The 23,583-nt window shown below is 36.6% G+C and overlaps 1 protein-coding gene across 4 annotated transcripts in view; it reads right to left on the bottom strand.

Annotated features, from left to right (window-relative positions):
• The window catches only part of CNBD1 (cyclic nucleotide binding domain containing 1), a 562,238-nt gene that overhangs the window by 504,286 nt on the left and 34,369 nt on the right, over positions 1–23,583 (bottom strand). For all 4 annotated transcript variants that reach the window (NM_173538.3, XM_047421411.1, XM_024447082.2 and 1 more), the window contains one exon: positions 19,173–19,286. In NM_173538.3, the coding sequence (NP_775809.1) occupies positions 19,173–19,286 (114 nt within the window). The remainder of the gene's footprint in view (positions 1–19,172; positions 19,287–23,583) is intronic.

Here is a 23,583-nt window from a genome sequence, read left to right as displayed (position 1 = left end):
AACCCCATTTCCACATTCTGTAGACAATTTGCCTTGGTTCAAATGCTCTCTACCTACAATTATTACTAATTGTTGAGAAATAATGAAAAAACATCGTTCTAGCCATTCAGGTATATGGTCACTCAAGCAAGACTTACAGAAAATATGGCCTGTGAATTTTCAGAATTTCTTTTTCCTTTCATTGCAAACTTCTCAAGTAGATTTTAGTCCCATAGTGCTAAGTAATGAATGGGGCATCTAATTGGGACAATAGAAGCTCCAATTTAAGGACATAGGGAGGTACATTTCCTGCCACCAATAGTAACAAAACCTGAAATTTACAAACTTTGAACGATATCATTTTGAATTGAATTGAATGGAACTTACTACTTTTAAATCAAAGATGGGCTTTTCTCCCTTCATTGCATATGGTCATGCCAGCTGGGACTCATTGGTCCCTTAGGGTCTTGATACAGTCCCATGGAAATCCATGAAAGTGTAAAGCTCTCCCTTTCAGCAGTTCCCCAGAATATTCTGTTCTGATGTCACCTGTCCTTCTATGATTCTTCTTTAAATGCTCTCTTTATTCTATGGCTTGTTTACCCAGAAATGAATCCAACTTTTCCTAATATTTTCTCAACAAAACTGAACTAAATGAAAGCAACCATGCAGAGCACTTGAAATTAGAATTTACCAAATACTGAGGATATCCTGAAGAGATGTTGCATTGAGGCAGGAGAATGGGGTCTGGAGGCAAGGAATCTAAGGCCAATTTGTGCTGACTTCTTAAAAGAGAAAACACCAAAGGCTGGGGGCGGGGAATCTGAGTCCAATCTGTGCTGATTTCCCAAAGCTGGGTCAAAAGGAAAACACCTGGGTCTAGGGGCAGGGACCCTAAGACCAATTAACACCAGCTTCCAAAAGTTAAACTAAAAGGAAAAACCGTATCTCCCCATGCCCAAGTAGCAAGGATCAAAGGCTACTCTCCCTACAACCCTCCCTTCCACCATGTCTCAGATAGAAAGGGAAGGTGCCCTGGAATGGCTGTGGGCCAAGCGGGGACCATCCCTTCATCTGCATAGGACTCCAATTCACCTCAGCCTTTAATTAGCCACAGACAAGACCTTCATCGAGACAAGGATAACTGATAGGGACTTCAAAAGGAGTACTTCAAACTTAGAAAACTTTGTAACTGGGCCCTTGAGCCGCCTGCTCGGGTCCACTCCCACCCTGTGGAGTGCTTTCTCGCTTTATTAAATCACTGCCTTCGCTGTTTTGTTCCTTTGTTACCTTATTTGTGTGTTTTGTCCAATTCTTTGTTAAAAACGCCAAGGACCTGGAGAACTCACTCTCAAGGCCCTCCTTCTGGTAACAGTATCACATATTACAACATACTTGAAATCCATTAACAGTTCTTTTTTAAAATGTTCTCACCCCCATCCCCAACATTGTAGTTTCTCCTTACTTAGTGCATACCTTTCTTCAATCATTTCCTGGCTCCTCTTGCTTCCTTCCTGTCCTCTTTTTCTCTGAATTTCTTCACTCCTGGTTGCTCCGTGACTCTAAATTAGAACATCTCTACCAGGCAGAGCAATTCACCCCTTCTCAGCACCTATACCCAGATGCTTCAAACCAAAGCAATCAGGAAGGAAGCATAAAACGAAAGTACCTTCCTTTTAGCATAATCTACCATTACTCAGTGGCAGTTATCATCATAAGTGGATTTTTTTTTAACTCAGACTTGAAACTTTCTTGTAACTTTCCACTTTACTGCAAGCAAATCTTATGCCTGTAGCCAATTTGTACAAATTGTCATCACTTGGCTACAATAATACCCCAAGCCATCCAGGCTTTCCTTTTTATGTCATGGTAGAGGGGTTAATTTGGGGTACAAAGGACAAGACCAAAGCATGGCAGAGACAATGTTAGATTTCTATTAATACAAACTTTCTTCTTCCTTCCTTCATAAAACTTCCAAAAGGTCCAAATATTGCTCCTATGACCTGGCATGTCCACTTCTCCCTCGCCTTGCCTTTTTTATTTCTCTTTCTTCTCTTTCTCTTCCTTTCTTCCTTTTTGTCTCCTCTCCCACCTCAAGCCATCACTCCCATCTTGACACCCATGGGGGAGATCATTTAAAGGTTTTGAAAAAAATTTTTTCAACAAGTTTCTGGTGACAACTACCAACTTGGGCAATTAGAGTATCAGCTAAGGTGGCTTTGACAGCATTTAGATAATCAACAACATGAAGAATTATCAGATATGGTTCTTTTTGCCTCAGATAATCTTTCTCTTCTTCTGGACAACTCTTATCCTTCAACTTAAACATTCCTTCCTCAAGAAAGCCTCCTCTGCTTCTCTGATCTTCCAGTACACCATCTGCCCTCAATGTAAGCACTCTCAATGCAACTACCCCTGCCCTGAAGTCTTCCTCTGACACCCCCTACACTGCACTTACCACCTCTTACTCAGACCCTGTCAGCACCACCAAGCTCTGAGCACAGAGGCCCTCTCTGACTTGCACTTAGCACACAGTTGGTGCTCAGTGTATATTGTCTTACTGAATAAACAAATGACAGGTTATTTGACATAGTTTGGCTGAATCCCCACCCAACTCTCATCTTGAATTGTAGTTCCCATAATTCCCATGTGTTGTAGGAGAGACCTGGTGGGAGATAATTGAATCATGGAGGTAGTTTCCCCCATACTGTTCTTGTGGTAGTGAATAAGTGTCAGGAGATCTGATGGTTTTATAAAGCATTTCCCCTTTTACTTTGCTCTCATTCTGTCTTGCCTCCCACAATGTAAGATGTCCCTTGATCTTCCACCATGATCATGAGGCCTCCTCAGCCATGTGGAACTGTGAGTCAATGAAAACTCTTTGCTTTAAAAATTACCAAGTCTCAGTTGTGTCTTTATTAGCAGTGTGAGAACAGACTAATACAGTATTATTGTGAGGTTTCTTTTCAGATAGTGTAAGTTTTATTTTTATTTTTTAGAATAAATTGGTAAAACAATAACTATAGGGCTGACTTAAAAAAAAACACAAGGAGCATCTCATTCAACAGACCTTGGAGCTCAGAGAAAATATGGGTTTTATAGTCATAACAAGAATAATTTCATTTATTCTAATGTTAAATACATATTTTCAAAGAGCCTATGGTTCAAACATTTATTATTTATCCTGAGGCCAGATCCACACTAGCATGAAATAAGTACACTTAGATGTAGCTGTATCATATGGGTAATTTCAGCTATGCTAGAGAAAGAAATTAAGTGCAAAAACTCAAAAGGGACTCACAAGTTCAAAATGCAATTTTGCAGAGATTTTTTTTAAGTCTATCAGAATCCATTTGCTCTAGGTTTTCAGTTGCTTCATCTCCAAATATTCATCTTTACTTTTGAACATTTTCTGCTCTCACACATTTAGAGAGAATTTATAGGCCATCTAGACTATGCATACACTATACCAATGATTGTCTTAAAATGTGTTTGGGAAAAAAAAATGAGTATTACAGAGAAGCCCTTCATCATTTTAACCCAGATCAAAGCTACATGTTTACTGCTTTTAGATCCAGAAGTAAAATTCTCAGTAAAATTCTTTAATTCGAGCAATTGGGATGTCCTAGCCTCTTTAGAATCTAAAATCCAAACTTATGTATCAATTTTTTGCCTAAAACGTACTTTGACAGCTTTTGGTATGACTGGCAATTTGGGTGACTGAGCATACAGACTTCTGAGCCCATGAGAAACATTCCCAACAGACTTCCTTGGGTCAGGCTGCCTTTGGCATATTAGAGAGTAGCCAGTGGAGTTCTGGGGCTAGTGGGAGAGGGAGCATACAATATGCACATTGCCAAAATTCTTTTGTTCTCCTCTGTTCAAATTATTAAGTTCTGTGTTGGTGGTATAGTGGTGGCCATAGCTGCCTTCCAAATTATTGTAAGTTATATAACACAAACTAAGAGAAAATGATTTTACAAAATACTACCATTACCTGGTTAAGTTACAAGCCTGGAAACTCCTAAACTTAGCAAGCTACCTCTTTCTCTCTTTTTCTTATCTGATTTAGTACCTAATTAAAATGGAACTTTTTAAGATAATAACTACTGGTTGGACTTCTTTAAAAGATCCTAAATTAAAATATACCAAAAAAATTTCAAACAGACATGCTATGCACATTAAGTGCAACATGCGATTGGTTGCTAAATTTAATAAATCAAGTATATTATGACCAAAGATCATACACAGCTTTGTAGTTTATCTCATTGAAATAAGCCCTTAGATGAATGAATTAATGCTTTAAAATGTGGGCTAAATTCTCCCAGTAGAAACTTTTCCCAATAGAAAAGTTACAGTTTGGTGACTTTTTTTTTTCACATTCTGAAAGAAAAAGAAACATATCAAACAGTAAACTTGCTGTTCAAATTGTGGTCCATGAACCAGTATCATTAGGATCAGCTGGTAGCTTGTTAGAAACACAGAATCTCAGGCCACACTCAAGACCCTCTGAATTGGAATCTGCATTTTAATAAGCTCCCCAGGAGATCTGTGCACATATTAAAGTTTGAAAAACACTAATCTGAAGTTTATTGAAAGTCACTTTGACAGCAAAGTCAGCTTTCTGTCATTGACTGCCTAGTAATTCTACCTCTAAATAGTTAATAATTACCTTTTAATAATAAATTCCCATTGTTAAATTAAACAAGCAGGAGGCCACTAGCCTGAGGCTGTCTCAGTACTTTGAGTTCCTAATCAACAAACCACAACTTAACTTTGTGTGTAAACAAACAGAAACCTAACTCAGGAGTATACGTTTTGTAACAAACAGCTGGATTTTAGCCAATCACAAACAGCTAAGCTTCAGCCAATCACAGGGAGTCAACTGATTGAATCGTGCTATAAAGGCAGATGTTTTATCACACCATTTGCAAATAAGGCAGATACCTTACTGGTCAATCAGGTAATTTCTACACTTTGCTCCCTTGTTTGGCCTATAAGAACTCACTGCTCACATGGCTGGTTGGGGCTCTCCAAACCTCTTCTAGTTTTGAGTACTGCCTGATTCATGAATCATTCTTTGCTCAAATAAACTGTTACATATTTAATTTGTCTAAAGGTTTCCTCTTAACACCAAAAGGAGTGTGTATGCCACTGTCATCCACAATATGTATTTCTGGATCCCAATATGAATGAATCCTATGTGTATTTCTTTGTTTACATCGTTTTGTCTTCTATAGTTAGGGTTAACTGCTGAGGGCATGAGAGGATTGTTTATTTTTCAGTCTTGTTGATACATGACATTTCATTTTTATAGGGGCAAAATTAAAGTTCCAATTGCCTTTCTCTTTTTTTTTAAAAAAAAAAGCATGATATTTTCAGAAACAGAAAATCAAATACCACATGTTCTTACAAGTAGAAGCTAAATAATGTGTTCACATGAACATAGAGTGAAATAATAGTCATTGGAGACTCAGAAAGGCGGGGCTAGGAAAAAGAAACTATGTAATGGGTACAGTGTACACTATGTGGGTGATGCCTACACAAAATTGCACTTTTACTCCCTAAATCTTTTTTTTTTTTTTTTTAAAGAAAGATAGCATGTGTATTAGTTTGTTTTCACACTGCAGATAAAGACATACCCAAGACTGGGTAATTTATAAATAAAAAGAGATTTGATGGACTCACAGTTCCATCTGGCTGGGGAGGCCTCACAATCATGGCAGAAGGCAAAAGGCATGTCTTATGTGGCAGCACAGAAGACAGAATTAGAGCCAAGCAGAAGGGGAAACCCCTTATAAAACCATCAGATCTCATGAGACTTATTCATTACCATGAGAACAGTATGGGGGAAACGGCTCCCATGATTCAATAATCTCCCACCAGGTCCTCCCCACAACACATGGGAATTGTGGGAGCTACAATTCAGGATGAGACTTGGGTGGGGACAGAACCAAATCATATCAGCATGCTTACACTTACCTTTTGTAGCAGCAGATGTAAACCTGTGTAATATGAACCAGTGAGGAAAGAAACATGTTCTAATAACATATTCTCAAAGTTTGCTTACACAGGTGTTTTTCTGTCAAACACTTCCATTCACTAAAAGAAGAGTGTATGATGCATCTTTAAGAAAGCATGTTTACAAATTTTTTTTTAAGTCATGACAGAATCCGTGCTAACTATGCTACAACCATTATGCATCCTGAGAGGTGGGCAATTAGGATTGCATGTTTTAAAGAGACAGTATCCTCTGCAGCTTCTCATATTTAAAAGGCATTTTACTCTATTCCCCTTTAAAAGGATATAGTTTAAATAAGTATTTTAATAGCTAAATAGATTAGTGGTATTGAAAATTTACTTAAATGCTAAGATGTACAAAGAAAATAGTTTACTTTCTATAAAGAAACTAAAACTTTCTCATGAGCTCACAGATCCTCTTCCTCCAATACCATTTTATGGTATCTCAGTCTCACTAATTTGAAAAAGTATAATTTAGAATAACTTTGTTTCTGTCAGGTAAATAAAGGCTGTTTTAACAATTTTCTGTAAATTTCATATCTTTTTCTGGACTTGGTTTGGGTGTGTGTTGGGGGAGGGCTGGATTGCTTACATGATTGTAGTTGGAGAGAGGAAGCTATCAGCTGATCATCATCATGTTCCTGTTGCAGAGTGGCCAGCAGGTTGGCTCTGGATTGGTATCTACTTAGGAATGAATGGATTTTTCTGCTTCTGCATCCACTCTTAACTCTCTTCTCCTCACGTCATCAGATTCCTGACTCAGCAGCTTGGTCTTCCCCTCCCCAGAGTCCTACCACCCATCAGTCCTACTGGCAACTCACTCTACCCTTACCAGTGTTCATGGGAAATTCTAGACCCCCTCAGTGCAAGCTAGACACAGACCAAGTGGATCTAATGGCACTAACTCGAGGTAGATCACAAGACATCTGTCTCCACCAGTTCTGTACTATTCTCTCTTCATGTTGAATGTTCTGTTGAGCCCAATTTAGGTCTTCCTGTACAGCAGTAATTTTCAATAATCACCTAAAAGTTATTTTTTAATTACTAAGGTCCTAGCCTGAAGCCAAGGACTCCAATTTACATAATGTCAGTGGACACAGATCTGGCATTAGTATTTTTCAAAACTCCTAAGGTGATTCTAATATGTAGTTCAAGTTGATTATCATTGTCCTAGAAGGTGCAGCTTCCTCAATAACTATCTAGATATTCTTTTTTTTTCTTTTTTGAGACAGAGTCTCGCTCTGTCACCAGGCTGGATCACAATGTCAAGAGACCAAGACCAGCCTGGCCAACATGGTGAAACCCCATCTCTACTAAAAAATACATAAATTAGCTGGGCACGGTGGTGCTTGCCTGTAGTCCCAGCTACTTGACAGGCTGGGGCATGAGAATCACTAGAACCCAGGAGGTGGAGGGTGCAGTGAGCCAAGATTGTGCCACTGCACTCCAGTCTGGGTGACAGAGTGAGATCTTGTCTCAAAAAAAAAAAAAAAAAGTTAGCTGGGCATGGTGGTGGGTACCTGTAATCCCAGCTACTCAGGAGGATGAGGCAGGAGAATGGCTTGAACCCAGAAGACAGAGGTTGCAGTGAGCCAAGTTTGCACCACTGCACTCCAGCTTGGGTGACAGAGTGAGATTCTATTTCAAAAAAAAAATAAAAAATAAAATAATAATGTTGCAGCCAGCACCAGAGAAAGGCAGGCTCCCAAAAGATAGAAAAAAACCTGAAACTAGTAATCAGCAGTTTTCCAATAAGATCCCAGGAATTGGGTGAAGTAGACTTACACGTACACATAATGAGGTAAAATGGCAGAGTTTAACAGGTATATGACTTTCTAGGGACACTCAAGTGGTAAGGGAAGAATGCCTCAAGAGAGCACGCATACAACTCTAGTAAACACACTGTGCATGCTCACCTCCCAAGTGCTAGCAGGCCAGTGTGGATGCAGACAGCCCACCCCAAGGGAAGAACCAGGGGAGAAGGAATGCAAGACCCCAGAAGTATGCCAGCGTATAAAACCCCAAGTCAAAGGTCAAACAGTGCACTTGATCTCTCCTGTTGCCCACTTGGCCCTCTTCCAGGTGTACTTTACGTCTTTTCATTCCTGCTCTGAAACTTTTTAATACACTTTCACTCCTGCTCTAAAACTTGCCTCAGTCTCTCCTTCTGCCTCATGCCCCTTAGTCAAATTCTCTCTCCTGAGGAGACAAGCATTGAGGTTGCTGCAGACCCGAACAGATTTGCCACCAGTAACACCTCCATTTTATATCTTCCTCCTACTTAAAGTAATATTTTTCCTGCTCTTTTCTCTGAGACCATGATGGCACATGGGATACAGGGAAGGAAATACTCATAAGGGAAGATACATCAAAAGTTAATACAAAAATATTATCTTCATTACATATATTTCTCTCCCTACAGTATCTGTAACATCAACTAGAAAATGGAACCTTAGATTAATAGAGCTAAAAGGAGAATTGACTGTCATCTACCCGAGCATTTTATTTTTGATATAAGGTAACTAATGCCCAGATAGATTGACTTCTCCAAAGTCATATAGTTACTGAGTGGCAAAATAGACACTATATGTCAAGGCAATGCACATTCACTCTAATGCACTCTTAATTATTAGCTGGATTCCAGTACTCATCTGAATTTCCAAAGAGTTCTTACACATCTTGTCTGGAAAGTTAATTGTATATGAATATATCATTATGAAACCACCATTGCAAAAATTATAACAGAAAATTATGGCACTGAAGGAAGTTTGATCTGGGCAACACTCATCTTGCCTTTGGCCTTCAAGCTGCCCTTAATTGTTCCTGGGCATGGGCCGAGCTAACTTTGGGAGATATTTAGTTTATAGTTTAAATGATAATAGCCCTTCCCCAAAACTCAACTGCATTTGTAAAGCTAATGGGAGACCACAAACCTAGGAGGATAGAGGAGACTGAATTCAGCTAAGGTGTAGACATAAGCAATTCCCAGCCACTATGCTGGAGGTCACAAGACGTGCAACTTCTCCAATTATACCTGAAGGTAACATCACTATTGTAGAATCTAAAATTGGCCTTTTGATATGTCTTTTCAGGCTTTTTGCATGTCCAGTGACCTATGGCTCTACCAGGACCCACCAACTGCTCCTGTGGCCCCACCCAGAAGCTACTCAGCACACAGGAGGACCATTTCCCACATTCCTATGGTTGCATCCACAATCAATCAGTAGCAAGCACTCATTTCCTAACCACCCACAACCCTTCCCCCAAACTACCTTTGAGAAACCCTAGCCCCCAAATTCTCTGAGAAACTGATTTGAGTAATAATACAACTGTGGTTCCCTGTTCAGGTGGCTCTGCGTGTATTAAACTCTCTACTGCAATTTCCCTGCCTTGATAAATTGGCTCTATCTGGGCAACAGGCAAGAAGAACCCATTGGGCGGTTATAATTACAATCTTTTTTCTATGCTAGACATGTGCCATTTTGAGTTAAGCATGTTTCTTCTTTACTATTCCATTTGATACATTTGCTCAAGCATTCAATTCATATTAATCAACTATTCTGCTCTTTTTTCTTTCTGAGAGTGCACTTTAGATAAAATAATATTGATTTTGTTAAGTATATAGCTTAAGGGAAGTGTAGATTAGGTAGATATCATTCAAGATTTTTTTCATTTTTGCTTTTAACTCTTTACAAAAAGAAACTTCTTCACTTAATATTATATATCTGACTTTTAATTTAACATTTTCTTCAAAATTAACCAACTTTCATTTTGATTAATTGAGTAATCTGAATACAGTCATATGTTGACTAATGATAGGGATACTTTCTGAGAAATGCATCATTTGGAAATTCTGTCATTGGGTAAACATCATAGAGCGTGCTTACACAAACATAAATGGTATAGCCTGCTATACACCTAAGCTAATATGGTATAGCCTATGGCTTCTAGGCGACAAACCTGTACAGCATGTTACTGTACCAAATATTATAAGCAATTGCAACACAATGTGTTGCGGGAAGTCAGGGACCCTGAACGGAGGGACTGGCTGAAGCCATGGCAGAAGAACATAAATTGTGAAGATTTCATGGACATTCATCACTTCCCCAATCAATACTCTTGTGATTTCCTATGTCTGTCTTTATTTTAATCTCTTAATCCTGTCATCTGCATAAACTGAGGAGGATGTATGTCGCCTCAGGACCCTGTGATGATTGCGTTAACTGAACAAATTGTAAAGCATGTGTGTTTGAACAATAACAAATCTGGGCACCTTAAGAACAGGATAACAGCGATTTTCAGGGAACAAGGGAAATAATCTTAAAGTCTGGCTGCCTGTGGGCTGGGTGGGACAGAGCCATATTTCTCTTATGACTGAAAACGGGTAAGAGAAATATCACTGAATTATTTCCCCAGTAAGGAATATTAATAATTAACAACCCTGGGAAAAGAATGCATTCCCAGGGCGGGGCCTCTAAAATGGCTGCCCTGGGAGGTTCTGCCTTATGCAGATGTAGATAGGGATGAAACACACCCTAGTCTCCTGCAGCACCCCCACGCTTGCTAGGATTAGGAAATTCCAGCCTGGCGAATTCTACTCAGACAGGTTCTCTGCTCTTGAACCCTGACAATGCGTGCACAGCGGGACAAGTCTACTTCATTAGTGATGCTAGTTTCGCTCTGACCTTCTGCCTTGTGATCTTTTGTTGCCCTTGAAGCATGTGATCTCTGTGAACAACACCCTATTTGTGCATTCCCTCCCCTTTGAAAATTGCTAATAAAAACTTGCTTGTTTTATGGCTCAGGGGGCATCACAGAACCCGCCGACATGTGATGTCTCCCCCAGACACCCAGCTTTAAAATTTCTCTCTTTTGTGCTTTTTCCCTTTATTTCTCAGACCAGCCAACACTTAGGGAAAATAGAAAATAACCTATGTGAAATAATGAAGAATTATCGGGGGCAGGTTCCCCCGATAACAATGGTAAGTATTTACGTATCTAAGCATATCTAAACACAAAAAAGGTAGAGCTAAATTAAAATACAGGATTAACAATGTAAAATGGTATATCTGTAAAGGGCACTTCCCTTAAATGGAGCCTGCAGTAGTGGAAGTTGCTCTGGGTGAGTCAGTGAGTGAGTAGGACATTACTGTATGTGAATACAGAATTTAAAAACACTGTACACTTAGGCTACACTAGATTTATTTGTAAAATATTTTTCTTTCTTCAATAACAAATTACCCTTTGCTTATTGTAACATTTTGACTTTATAAGATTTTTCATTGTGTTTAATGTCTTTACTCTTGCAAAAACACTTAGCTTAAAACACACATTGTACAGCTGTACAAAAATATGCTCTTTGTTTCTATCTTTATCCTATAAGCATTTTTCTATTTTTAAAATTTTTTATTTTTATTTTTACTTTTTAAGCTCTTTTTGTTGTTGTTACACATACACAATTACAAACATTAGCCTAGGCCTATACAGGGTCAGGATCATTGATATCACTGTCTTCCACACCCATGTCTTGTCCCCCTGGAAGGTCTTCAGGGACAATAACACACACAGAGCTGTCATTTCCTATGATAACAATGCCTTCTTCTGGAATCCCTCCTGAAGGGACTGTCTGAGGTTGTTTTACAATTAACCTTTTTTTTAAAATATAAATAGAATAAATACACTCTAAAATAACAATAAAAGTTATAGTAAATACATAAATAATATAGTCTTTAGTCATCATTATCAAGTATTATGTACTATACATAATTGTGTGTGCTATATTTTTATATAACTGGCAGCACAATAGATTTGTTTACATTGACATCATCATAAAAACATAAGTAATATGTTAAAGTATGACATTACAGGCAGCTATGAAGTCCCTGAGTGATAGGTAATTTTTCAGCCCCATTTTAATTTTATGGGACCACCATGGTATATGTGATCCACTGTTGGCTGAAATGTTGTTATGCAGTGCATGACTGCATATTGGAAGAAGTATTATAGCTAATAATTCAAATACATCATTGGTTTCCCCTTAGCTTCTGCCACATTATTTTTGGTCTGCACCCTTTAGAAAAATGTACCCCTCATTGATAAACATTTTGCCTAATATCTACCAATCTAGTACAAATACTATACATTGTTAAAGTTAATCTGAATTTTTTAAAATTTTTTTGATATTTTAATGCTGACTAACCCCTTCTGGAACTAAAATGGTCAAAATCTGATAACATTTTTATAAAAGTCAAATAAAATTATAACAAGTAAGCAGCCTTCTTTGTAAATACTTCAATTTCCACCCCCATAAAAATGTCACATTTTGCGTAATACTGACATTTTAATAATATTATTCTTGCAGTCCGGGGCATGGAATATCTTCTTACTTTTTTGTGTCCTCTTTAATTTTTTTCATCAGCATTAAAATTTATAGTTTTCCTAGTAGAGATCTTTAACTTCTTTGGTTAAATATTTTCCTAGGCATTTTACAATTTTTGTGTCTATTGTAAATGGGATTGCTTTCTTGATTTCTTTTTCAGATTGTTTGCTGTTGGCATATATAAATGCTACTGATTTTTTACGTTGCTCTTGTATCCTGCAATTTTATTGAATTATTTTATCATTTCTAACAGTTTTTGATGGAATCTTTAAGGTTTTCTAAATATAAGCTCATGTCATTTATGAACAAGGATAATATCACTTCTTTCTTTGTGACTACAGTAAGCAATAATCTACTGTATATTTCAAAATAGCTAGTAGAGAATAATTCAAATGTTCCCAGCATAGATAAATGTTTAAGGTAATAAATATTTCAACTACCATGATTTGATTATTATACACAATATAAATTTATCAAAATATCACATGTCCAAAAATACATACATCTACTATGTATCAATAAAAAGCCACATTTTGAATAAATACATTTTTAACAAAGGTTTCCATAATTCTTTGGATGCTTACTATTTGTTTCCTCAATTACTAACATTTCCTTAAACTTTTGATATGGGAGCTAAAAAGAAATTATTTAGGCAGATAGTGAGGGTGAAGGAGTCCTCAGCAAGGCTTGCCTTTTAACAAAAAGCAGCCCCCAAATAATTTCTTTTCTAACAAAGAGCAGCCTGAAAGTAATCCAGCTGCAAACATAGATAAGCAAGCTAAAAGCTTGCATGGGTGAATGCCAACAGCTGTGCCAATAGAAAAGGGCTACCTGGAAACCAGGTATGTTCAACATGGAGGCTCCATCTTCCCTTTTCTTTGTCACCACATGTACAGTAGAAAAGCAGGCAACATGGTGAGGTAGAGAATCCTTTTGCATAATAAAAGATTAGGGTGAGGTAGCCAGCTTCTTCGTGGGATATGCAAACAGCACAACTAATCCTAACCAGTTCTTCGTGTTATGTAAATAGCATACCTGATCCGACCAATTTTTTGTGCCCTGTGTAAATCAAACACCACCTCCTCAAGCTCATCTATAAAACCTCCTGCACTTCACTGGGGACCAGAAGACCCACTTGGGACCCCGTCTCTCTGCAGGAGAGAACTTTTCCCTTTCTTTTGTCTATTAAACCTCTGCTCTTAACCTCACTCTGTTGTGTCCACGTCCTAGTTTTCCGTGGTCATGGAACAAACCTTGGGTATTACCCCAGACAATGACTCCACTTCATTTCTTTTTCACTCCTGACATAAACTGACCTAAACACACATTGATTAAAAATCTATGTCTTTTCTTATTGCTTAAAGGGTAGATATTAAATGTATTGAAGTAAACAATGTAGCAATTTTACTGTGACTATATGTATTAATTTATCTTACACCTAGGAAAGCACTCATTGTTTACAGTGGCTATCTTCTTTGTGCAGGATGCTCCCCCTCCCCCATTTCTTTTGCTAACAGGTTCTATGCCACTGGGCAGCCAATCTCAATCCTTTTTCAGGATTATTCTGGTTGAAAAAAATTCCTTTTTCTCTCCAGTGTTACAGGTGTTACAAGTTCAAAGTTCCTGGTAACCATGTTCCCTGCCACACGGAGAAAGGTCACAATCACCAAGAGGGAATTGGGATAATCTACAAATATGAGCAGGGATGAGAAGTAGAGAGTCCGACAAGCACTCCAGATCTTGTATCCCTTTTCTCTAAGGCTGGCTTTTCCCATCCTCCAGTAGGTTAGGCGAATCAATAGGCAACTTTTTTTTAATGTTCCTCAGAGGAACTTATGTTCCTTTGAGTCCAATTTCGATTACAACTAAAAGCCTGGACTAATTCATGATCCGATCTAAAAACTGAAAGATGAATTCATGAAGACAAATCGTGCTTAAATTATTATTAGCAGGATTATTGCTTAAGGCTGTCTCCCTTGAGAAGATCTGACTCATAAACTCTAGAGGAGCAAGGACCACATTCATCTTACTCTACACTAGCACAGTGCCTGCTATATAATAGCTACTTGGTAAGTAATTGGATTAATTAATAAAAGAAACAGTTGGATGTCAATATAGAAAAGGGTGGTTATACTGTCCAATTTAACACAAAATCGGAAGATTTCTTGACGGCAGAATGTTTCTCTTCTATGTATTTAAACTACAAGCATCATAACTTTCTATCTTAAGCCAGGGTTCTCAGATTTTAAAAATATTTCTCATCATAGTACTGACAATAAAGTTTGGAGAGTATAAATTTGAGTAAATGTTCAAAGGCAAACAGATTGAGCTGCAGTTTACATATTCTGAGTAAAAATCACTGCAATGTTGCACACCAACATGGCACATGTATACATATGTAACAAACCTGCACGTTGTGCACATGTACCCTAGAACTGAAAGTATAATAAAAAAAAAACCACACTGCAATGTTTATTTAGGAATTTTTCAAGTGTAGAAAGTTACAATTACATTTAAAAAATGTAAACTATTTACCAAATTCCCTTTAACTGCACTATTCTCAGGAAACCATCTAGCTTTACGATACTTCCAAGACTGTCATTAAAAAGTAAATGAAAATATCAAAAGTTAGTGAAGTTATAATTTTTGTGAAAAAGAAAGTTCTAAAATAAGCATAGAATATGTGGAAAGCAAAAGGGCTCCCTATTTACATAAAAACTAGCATTTTGTTTAAATTAGTACCTTTACAATTATGTATTCTAAATATAAGATATAGATGTAAATCTGGATTATGGCCCATCTTTCTGTAATGAGTTAAGATGGCTCAAAATGGCAATCACATTTTGTTGTTGTTGTTTTAAAAAAAATGACCATTATGTTTATTGGGAACAGGTAAGTCAATTATTGTACAGTATCATCAAAAAGAATTCTTGGCCCCGCGCAGTGGCTCACGCCTGTAATCCCAGCACTTTGAGAGGCCAAGGCGGGCAGATCACGAGGTCAAGAGATCCAGACCATCCTAGCCAACATGGTGAAACCTCGTCGCTACTAAAAATACAAAAATTAGCTGGGCGTAGTGGCGGGTGCCTGTAGTCCCAGGAGGCTGAGGCTGGAGAATCACTTGAACCTGGGAGGCGGAGGTTGCAGTGAGCCGAGATCAGGCCACTGCACTCCTGCCCTCAGCACAAAAAAAAAAAAAAAAAGAATTCTTATGATGATAATCACAACATTGTTAATTTCATCTGGCCATTGGAATATGGAAATCATTTCATTTCACAGCCCCCTTTAAACATACTGGTACTTTATATAAGGTGAAGTTTGCCTCTTTTTGTTGCGGTTGTTTAATCTGTTTGAAAAAAGGTCAATTTCTTGACAGATGGTATAATGTACATAAAACATCATTGCCATTTATAGTGCATGATAATAATGAAAACTAGCACAATTTAAAAGTTTTTTCAATGCATAACTCTGAAGTAGGGGATTAATATTGTCTGCCCTTTTCTGAGTAAAACCTGAGTGTGAGTTAACAGACTTCTTTCTTCAAAGTCATGTTTCTGCTATTGAGTGAAACAAAAACACAAAACCAAGTCTTCTGGGTCAACACTGAGTGTTCTTTTTAAAACAACACAGATTCTTTTCTATTTGATTTCCTACATATATGAATATACCAAAATTTTACCTTCTTATCAATCCATGAATAAAATAAATTTTAAATAATGATCAAAGTCCCAAGCAATACTTCATCTTCTTATCCTATTCTTCAATTTTTGCCCATATAGAATTGTTTCTCAACGTCTCAGCCAGGTCTTCTGCTTATTTTCATCTGTGTGCCTTGCTCCACATGGACTTAACATTTCTATGTAGCATTTCTCCTACTCTCCTTGAACATGACTGTCTTCCTTCAATATTTATCAAATGACCTGGCATCACCAGCTGCCCACAACCAGGCAGGTGCCTTACTTGCTGTTGTAGCTGTCACATAATATTTGTGTTAAATGAATTACAGTGTTAAATATATGACAATGATAACAGGTAAATATTGTTGATCAATAACTGTAATAGTGTAAATGTTAACAGTGTAGGTATTTCATGTCTGCTAACATGAAAGTTTCCTCATCAGTTTTATTCCTTTAAAAATTTCTTGGATTTACATAAGCTGAGTTTCAATCATCAGGGTATCTATAGATATATCACACTGAATGTGGGAACTATGTATACTAAGCTTAGAAGAAAATTCACAATTTTCTTAATATACTTTAGGAAATTCTATTTAATTCAGTTTAAGGGGTTTTTTTTTGTTTTTTTGTTTTTGTTTTTTTTTTAGATAGAGTCATGCTCTGTCTCCAGGCTGGAGTGCAGTGGCGCAATCTTGGCTCACTGCAACCTCCGCCTCCTGGGTTCAAGTGATTCCCCTGCCTCAGCCTCCCAAGTAGCTGGGATTACAGGTGCCCACCACCATGCCCGGCTAATTTTTTGTATTTTAGTAGAGGCAGGGTTTCACCATGTTGGCCAGGATGGTCTCAAACTCCCAACTTCAGGTGATCTGCCCGCCTTGGCCTACCAAAGTGCTGGGATTACAGGTGTGAGCCACCACGCCCGGCCCCTAATTTTCTTCTGAGCTTCCACTTTCTCTCTTCTAATCTTATCCCATGTGCTTCATATAGTGTCAACAATATTCCCCACTCTTCAGGTGGGCATGTGGTTCAAGATTGGCAAATTCACAACAGTGACAATACAGGGATATGATATAATTTAGAGATTTCAGTGAATCTCCTGCTGGGCCTGTTTCAGAACACCTCCATTCTCACCTGAACAGTAAAATAAATGAATGTGGTCTTCCCAGACCTATTACATGATGTGTGACGATGAAACCAACCCAGCAAAGAGGAGGCAGAGATACAGAGGAAACTGAGTCCCAATGCCATCATTTAATGGTGAAGTTAGCTCTACAGCAAAACATTTCTAAAATGTGATTCTTAAAATTCCCCTTGATTCTTAAGCTAATTTTATTGGCTTTTCAGACACTTAAACAAATCTTAATTAGTATAGTGTATCGTCCTAGTTCTTGTGTATTTGGCAGTCCACTCTTTATTTTCACATTTAAACCACAGTTTTACTGTTAAAACACATTTGGGATCTGTCTCTTTTCTTAAAAATATGAAGATGGTATTTCATTACCAAGTATGTTGACAGCCACTGGGTGCCTCCCTGAAGTCCTCTCAAAGTTTAATGTCTTAACTAAAGAAGCAGACCACTGCTGGTAGATTAATGAATAAATATGAGGGCAAGATGATCATATCAGCTATCCATAAAAGCTCTTGGTCCCTTATTCTATAGACAGAGCTACATTTACAGGTCTCTTTCTAATCAACAAGATTAGAATAGAAATTGAGTATACTTGGAATCAAAAAGTACAAAGTATTTTTATCAGATATTTTTAGAGTGATGTTAACTTGATAAATCACAGTATAAGCATTGTATGATCATTCCAGATGTATGTACATCTAGGGATGTAGTTTGATCTACATGATAGATACAGTCTTGGAAAAAGTTATATTTGAATCTCTGTTTTCAAAAGATTTTATTAATTTAACAGAATTGTTCTTGAAAAGGCAGAGCAACTCCATCTCCCAGAGATTTTTCCCAGTCAACTAATATGGTATGTTTTACATAATACTGCCCTATGGCTATAAAGAAAAGAAAGGTATAGGATAATGAAATAGATCTATGTCTCTCATGCTGATATCTTCCAACCCCTGGAGACATATTTGTTACAATAATTTTGTTTGAATTTTTACATTTGTATCATTGATATAAATAAATGAAAACATATTCTTGATCAGCTCCCTTACACAGCCAGTAAGCAGTTTGCCCATGGGGCAACACACATCTACTATTCACAATTACAGGTCAGTCCCTCTGCTAAATGTCAGAAATAAAAATACTGACTAGCAAACACACAAGCAAAATACAGTCTTACAGATATGGCAATAGAAGTTATTAGGGAGTATGGCAGTGGGGTAGCCAAGGATGTGAACAGATCAACTCTACTTGAATAGTATGGAGTAGGAGGTTTCCATATCCACTATAAGATACTTAAGGAACAACAAAGACAACTATATCCAGGAAGTGAAAATGCCTTTCTAGATCTGGTACTGCACTGATATAAGACACTTACAGTTCCACTGGAGCCAGGGACAATTTGAGAGGAGCTGCATCACAATGTGATCTGGCAATCTACCTTCATCCTTTACTGAGAGGGCAGTTACACCTTCCGCAACACCCTTAAGTAATCTCATTCTTTGACTTTAAAAATACATAAAGCACATCTAAATGTAGGTCCACCTAGAAGCAGGAGCCCAGTAAAAAAGGCTTCACAAATGCCTTTCAGTGCCCCATGACTTTGTGATTTATACCTTGATACATGACACACCTCCAAATATCCTCCACCCACAAACACTCTAATCATTTCCATTGGGAAGTTTCTCATGAAACCCTGTAGAATATTTTAATCCCTTTCATAAACACTGCCGTTCATTAGTAAAAGGCAACAATTCTTTGATAAAAAGTTTAAATAAATATGATCTTTAGCAGTGGACACGTATTTTTGCTGAACAAAAATTGAATTTACCCTTACCAACTAATTTCTGTTTCCTTGGCTGCTCCCTAGCCCTCCACACTAAATATTTGACTGAAACTGGTCAAATATTTTCAGTTTTGAGTTCAACTTGTGTGAGCACAAGCACACTCATACACACCCATCAACCTTGCTTTCAAAAGAAGGTATCATTACCTTTGTTCCTCCTGTTTGAAAAGTTTAGGAAGTCTGGGTTTTTGGTGCAGGAATACTTTAGGATATTGCTTCATAAATGTATCGTGAGCTGATAAGATATTGCTCATACTCCGGCTTAAAAAGAAGAGAGAAATTAAATTGTAAGTGTCATAGGATAACAGCTTCCAAGAGAAAGATTTTTAACTCAATATATACGTATCAATTCTATACTATTTAGTCTAAGAAGCAACTAACAAAAATATAAAATATAAATATTTTGTGCTTTAAAAATATCCAAATCTCAGTGAGAAACATTTTAAGAAATACAAAATGTATGATAATGTATGATAATGTCAATGTCAAAAATTTAATTTTTGAAGTTCAGTCTTTTTAAAACTCATATTTCTATAATTGATTAAAGTTTTATATAATGTACTACAGAATTAAAATCCCCCTGAAATTATTTAAAATAGTTTACATCTACATTACTAGAGAGAGTATTTATTTGAATCTTTGCCATCATGTGTTAAAATCGCAGGCAGTATTTTTTAGGTCTAGAATAAAGATATGTTACAAGAACAAAAGATGAGCATTTTCCAAATTCAGATCACTGAAATTACCTACGATGCTTTTTGTAAGTAAAAATTTCTGATCCATTTATTGATAATCATAAACTCCAACAGTAGAGCCCTGGGTGGGCTTCTCTTTTTTAAATCTATTCCTCAGGATGACTCTTATATGTAGCTACACCTTGATTCATGGCAAATACCAAAAATGCCAATAAGCAAGATTCAGAGAATAGCATTGTCATTAAATGTTAGGTAATGATATTTGTTTCTGGAAAATCCACCTAATTCAATTTTCAATTGACAACACCATGAAAAGTTGGTCAATTTTTTAAAAAATGCTAAACATTCATCTTGAGAGCTTATTTCAATAATTATAAAAAATTATCATACTTCAAATTGAACACTGACAAACATCTTAGCCAATAGTTGCCGCATGACAATGAACAACAAAATCCTCAAGAGAAGGCTTTTTTAAAAAGTCTTTTTCATTTTCATTGTAAATAATAACAACACATTCTGAAATATTTATAACAGCTTTTTCTTCTCTTGGATAATGTTCCTAAAACACCATATTGATGCTTTACACAAGACAAATTCTATAGACTTTAAAAATCTTATTTCATGTAACATAATTGATTCAAACAACACAATATGATGTAATTTTCTATATTAGGCATTTTTATTCACTTTCTCACAGTGTATAGATACATTCACCAAGCATCGAATCTTTTTAAAATCTGACCACTGATTTATTAGAGGCTTCCCAGGAAAAAAAAAAAAATTCTGTTTGTAACTCACATTCTACAATCATCTGTTTTACACATCTACCTGTTTTTCACTGGATACTTGTTATATTCGAATCATTGTACTAAGATCTTTTACACTGTTTTGTATTATTGCACATTTATATAACCTGACAATATACTTTATTTGAGATACTTTATTGACCCTTCTGCACAAAAAGAAACTGCAACCTTAATAATTTGCCTAATTCATATAACTAAGAAGTGGAGGATATACGGTACAAATGAAAACTAAATTGACTCCAAAACCCATTATTTTAACCTCTGGGATATTCTGTCCCCCATTTAATAAAACACATTAGTTCTTGCTATGTGCCAGGCACTCTTCTAAGTAATGTATATGCATCTTACATAACTGTATTAACTAGATACTCCTACCCATTTTGTTCCTGAAAAGATACTGAGGTCCAAAGAAGTACAAAAGTGTAGACATATGCAGCCTATACTACAAAATTTGGAATCCTATTCCAATTTGTGCTCTGGATAGATCATCTTTGGAGTGGATAAAAAATTTATTTCCAAATACTAAGACTTTTACCCAAGTCATTTTTTATGTGTATAACCTTAGTTACACTTATACACTTTATGTGTATAACCTTAGTTAGCTGCCTCCTTCACCTAATTCTCAAGAATTTCCAAGATGTGGTGGGTAATGTACATGGATTCAGTGTCTATGATCTGGGTCTCCAAAAGTAGTGTGTCCAAGAAGTGAAATACGTGGAAGGTTGAAATGGAAGAGTCAAATGCTAGAGCTAGAGATGACATGATTTTTCAGATTGAGCCCCTAAATGGCCTGTAATGCTATAATTTATATTCTATGTCCCAAAAATGTAATGTGGAACATATTCCTACTTCTGAGGGTCTCATTGAAACAACAACATATGTCTGTGTGTTCAGTAGAAAAGTATTATTGTCTAAAACCATGTGAAATCTGTAAATAAATGTATCTAAATATGGAATATAGAAGTAGCTGAGGGGAAACATAAAATAATTAGCATGCTAGGGACAAAGAAATGTTTAGCATTATGGTAGAGTTGGAGAGTAGATCATGGACCTAAATACCTATCTGACCCTTCAATTCTGTCCTGAAGATGTTTTTCGTGATTTACCAGGCTATGAGTAAATCCTACCCATGGACAAAGAAGTTGCCACTTCATTGAAGCTTACCTGCAATAAACTCATCTATAAGAAAATAACTCCAACTTCCTCAAGCAGATGAAAGGGAAATACATTCAAAATATATAGGTTTACACAGCAGAACTCTAGAACACTTTCAGGATTCTCTATATACAGGGATTATAAAATTAAATGCTTATCGTGTCCAAGCAAGTGTCATAAGGTGGGAACTGTGGTAAGCTGAAAAGAGCATGCCCACATGGAGGGACCTGTGACCTCACCCTTAAGACCATTTTTCTCATGTATTAAAAGAAGTTCAGTGTATTCAGATCCTGTAGTTTTCTACAGAAGTCAGAGATCTGTACTCTCATGTAAAAATGACTTATTTTTAAATGTTAATAACTGCTATGGATTGTATGGCTCCCCCCCCAACTCCCAAAAAGGTATATATTAAAGCTCTGACACCCAATGTGACTATATTTGAAGATAAATGCAGTCTCTCTAACTACAAGGGAGGTTGGTAAATGTAGTCTAGCTGTGTACCCAAAAAGTAGATAAAGTTTGGAGGAGCATACAGAAGACTTTAAGGTAGATATAAAATCACTGACTATATTAGATTTGGATGTATTATTATTTAGAAATGTATTTGTCATTTTATGGATAAGGAAATGATGCATATAAAGTTTAAATTACCTGCCTACGCTTATATAAAGTAGAAAAATGAGTGAACACATTCCAATTGTCTTGCTCTAAGATTAAGGGTCTTCCATTTCTCATCAGAGGCAAAATCTATTAGAGAAGGCAGGAAGTAACACGTCATACAGTCAGGGAATACTACCAAAGGCTTTAAGTGATCACCCTTCCCCTGGTCTAGGCTAGTCTACTCGATGTTCTCATGGCTGAGTTCTACCCAGTGGAATATGAAAGAGAAGGCAGAAGGATGTGCCAAAAAAGATCCTTCCACATAAGATTCTCAATGTCCTTTTCCCATCCAGCTTGATGCAGAGGACCAAGGTGGCCCTGGAAGCCACACAATAAAGACTGAAGAGCAAATGTTTGGTAGAGGCCTGAGTTCCTAAACTAAAAGAACAAACTGTCAATGAAAAGCACCCCTTTATAGCATTATGTGGGAAAGAAATAAAATTATATTGTGCAAAGCTACTGAGATTTAGTGTTTATCTATAGCAGCCCGAAATACCCTAATACAATATTTCTTCTGCATCTCATTCAGTTTTGCTCACAGGTCTGAAAACATAATAAGCTTTTAATAAGATATTTATTGATTAATTATATTTATGTGTTTGCCCGAGGCAATTCACATTTTTTATTTTAAGTTAACTAAGGCAAATCATAAAAGTTGAATATATTCATTCACTTATATATTGTTTCCTCCTGAATTTGTCTTACAAATATCATAGCATCTACACATGTATTTGATGAAAATTAAAAGAAATATAAGTGATATCCTGATAAAGGAGGCAGGTACAATTTGGTATGAATTAAGCTGACTCTATATTTTATATATACAATATGCATATTGCATATATAAACACATTTTCATAATGTATGTCATCCTTTTATTACAATGAGTTGAAAAATAAACATTCCATAAAAATGTCAGTGTATTTAACATTAGGCCACTACAAAGTTTCATGCTATTCAGTCTCTTCTGTTCTTATTTAAAAATTTTTTGGAAATGTGAGTTTCTAGCCTTATTCATGGACAAAGCTCATTAGCCAATGATTTTATGCCTTCAAAATTATATTTTTTCAAAGAAGTTCCACATGCCATTGCAATTAAATATTAAGATTAATCTCAAACTTTTCATTTTCATAAAGTTCTGAAGGAAAATTTAAAGATCTGTTTGACAAAGTTAACTGCAAGATTGAATGTAAACCTCTTAGAGAGATATTGATCAGTCATAAAAGGTTTACTTCCCCTGAA

The sequence above is a fragment of the Homo sapiens genome, chromosome 8 (assembly GCF_000001405.40).
Source record: "Homo sapiens chromosome 8, GRCh38.p14 Primary Assembly".
NCBI classification, from domain to species: Eukaryota; Metazoa; Chordata; class Mammalia; order Primates; family Hominidae; genus Homo; species Homo sapiens.
This window is presented reverse-complemented; position numbering and strand designations above follow the sequence as displayed.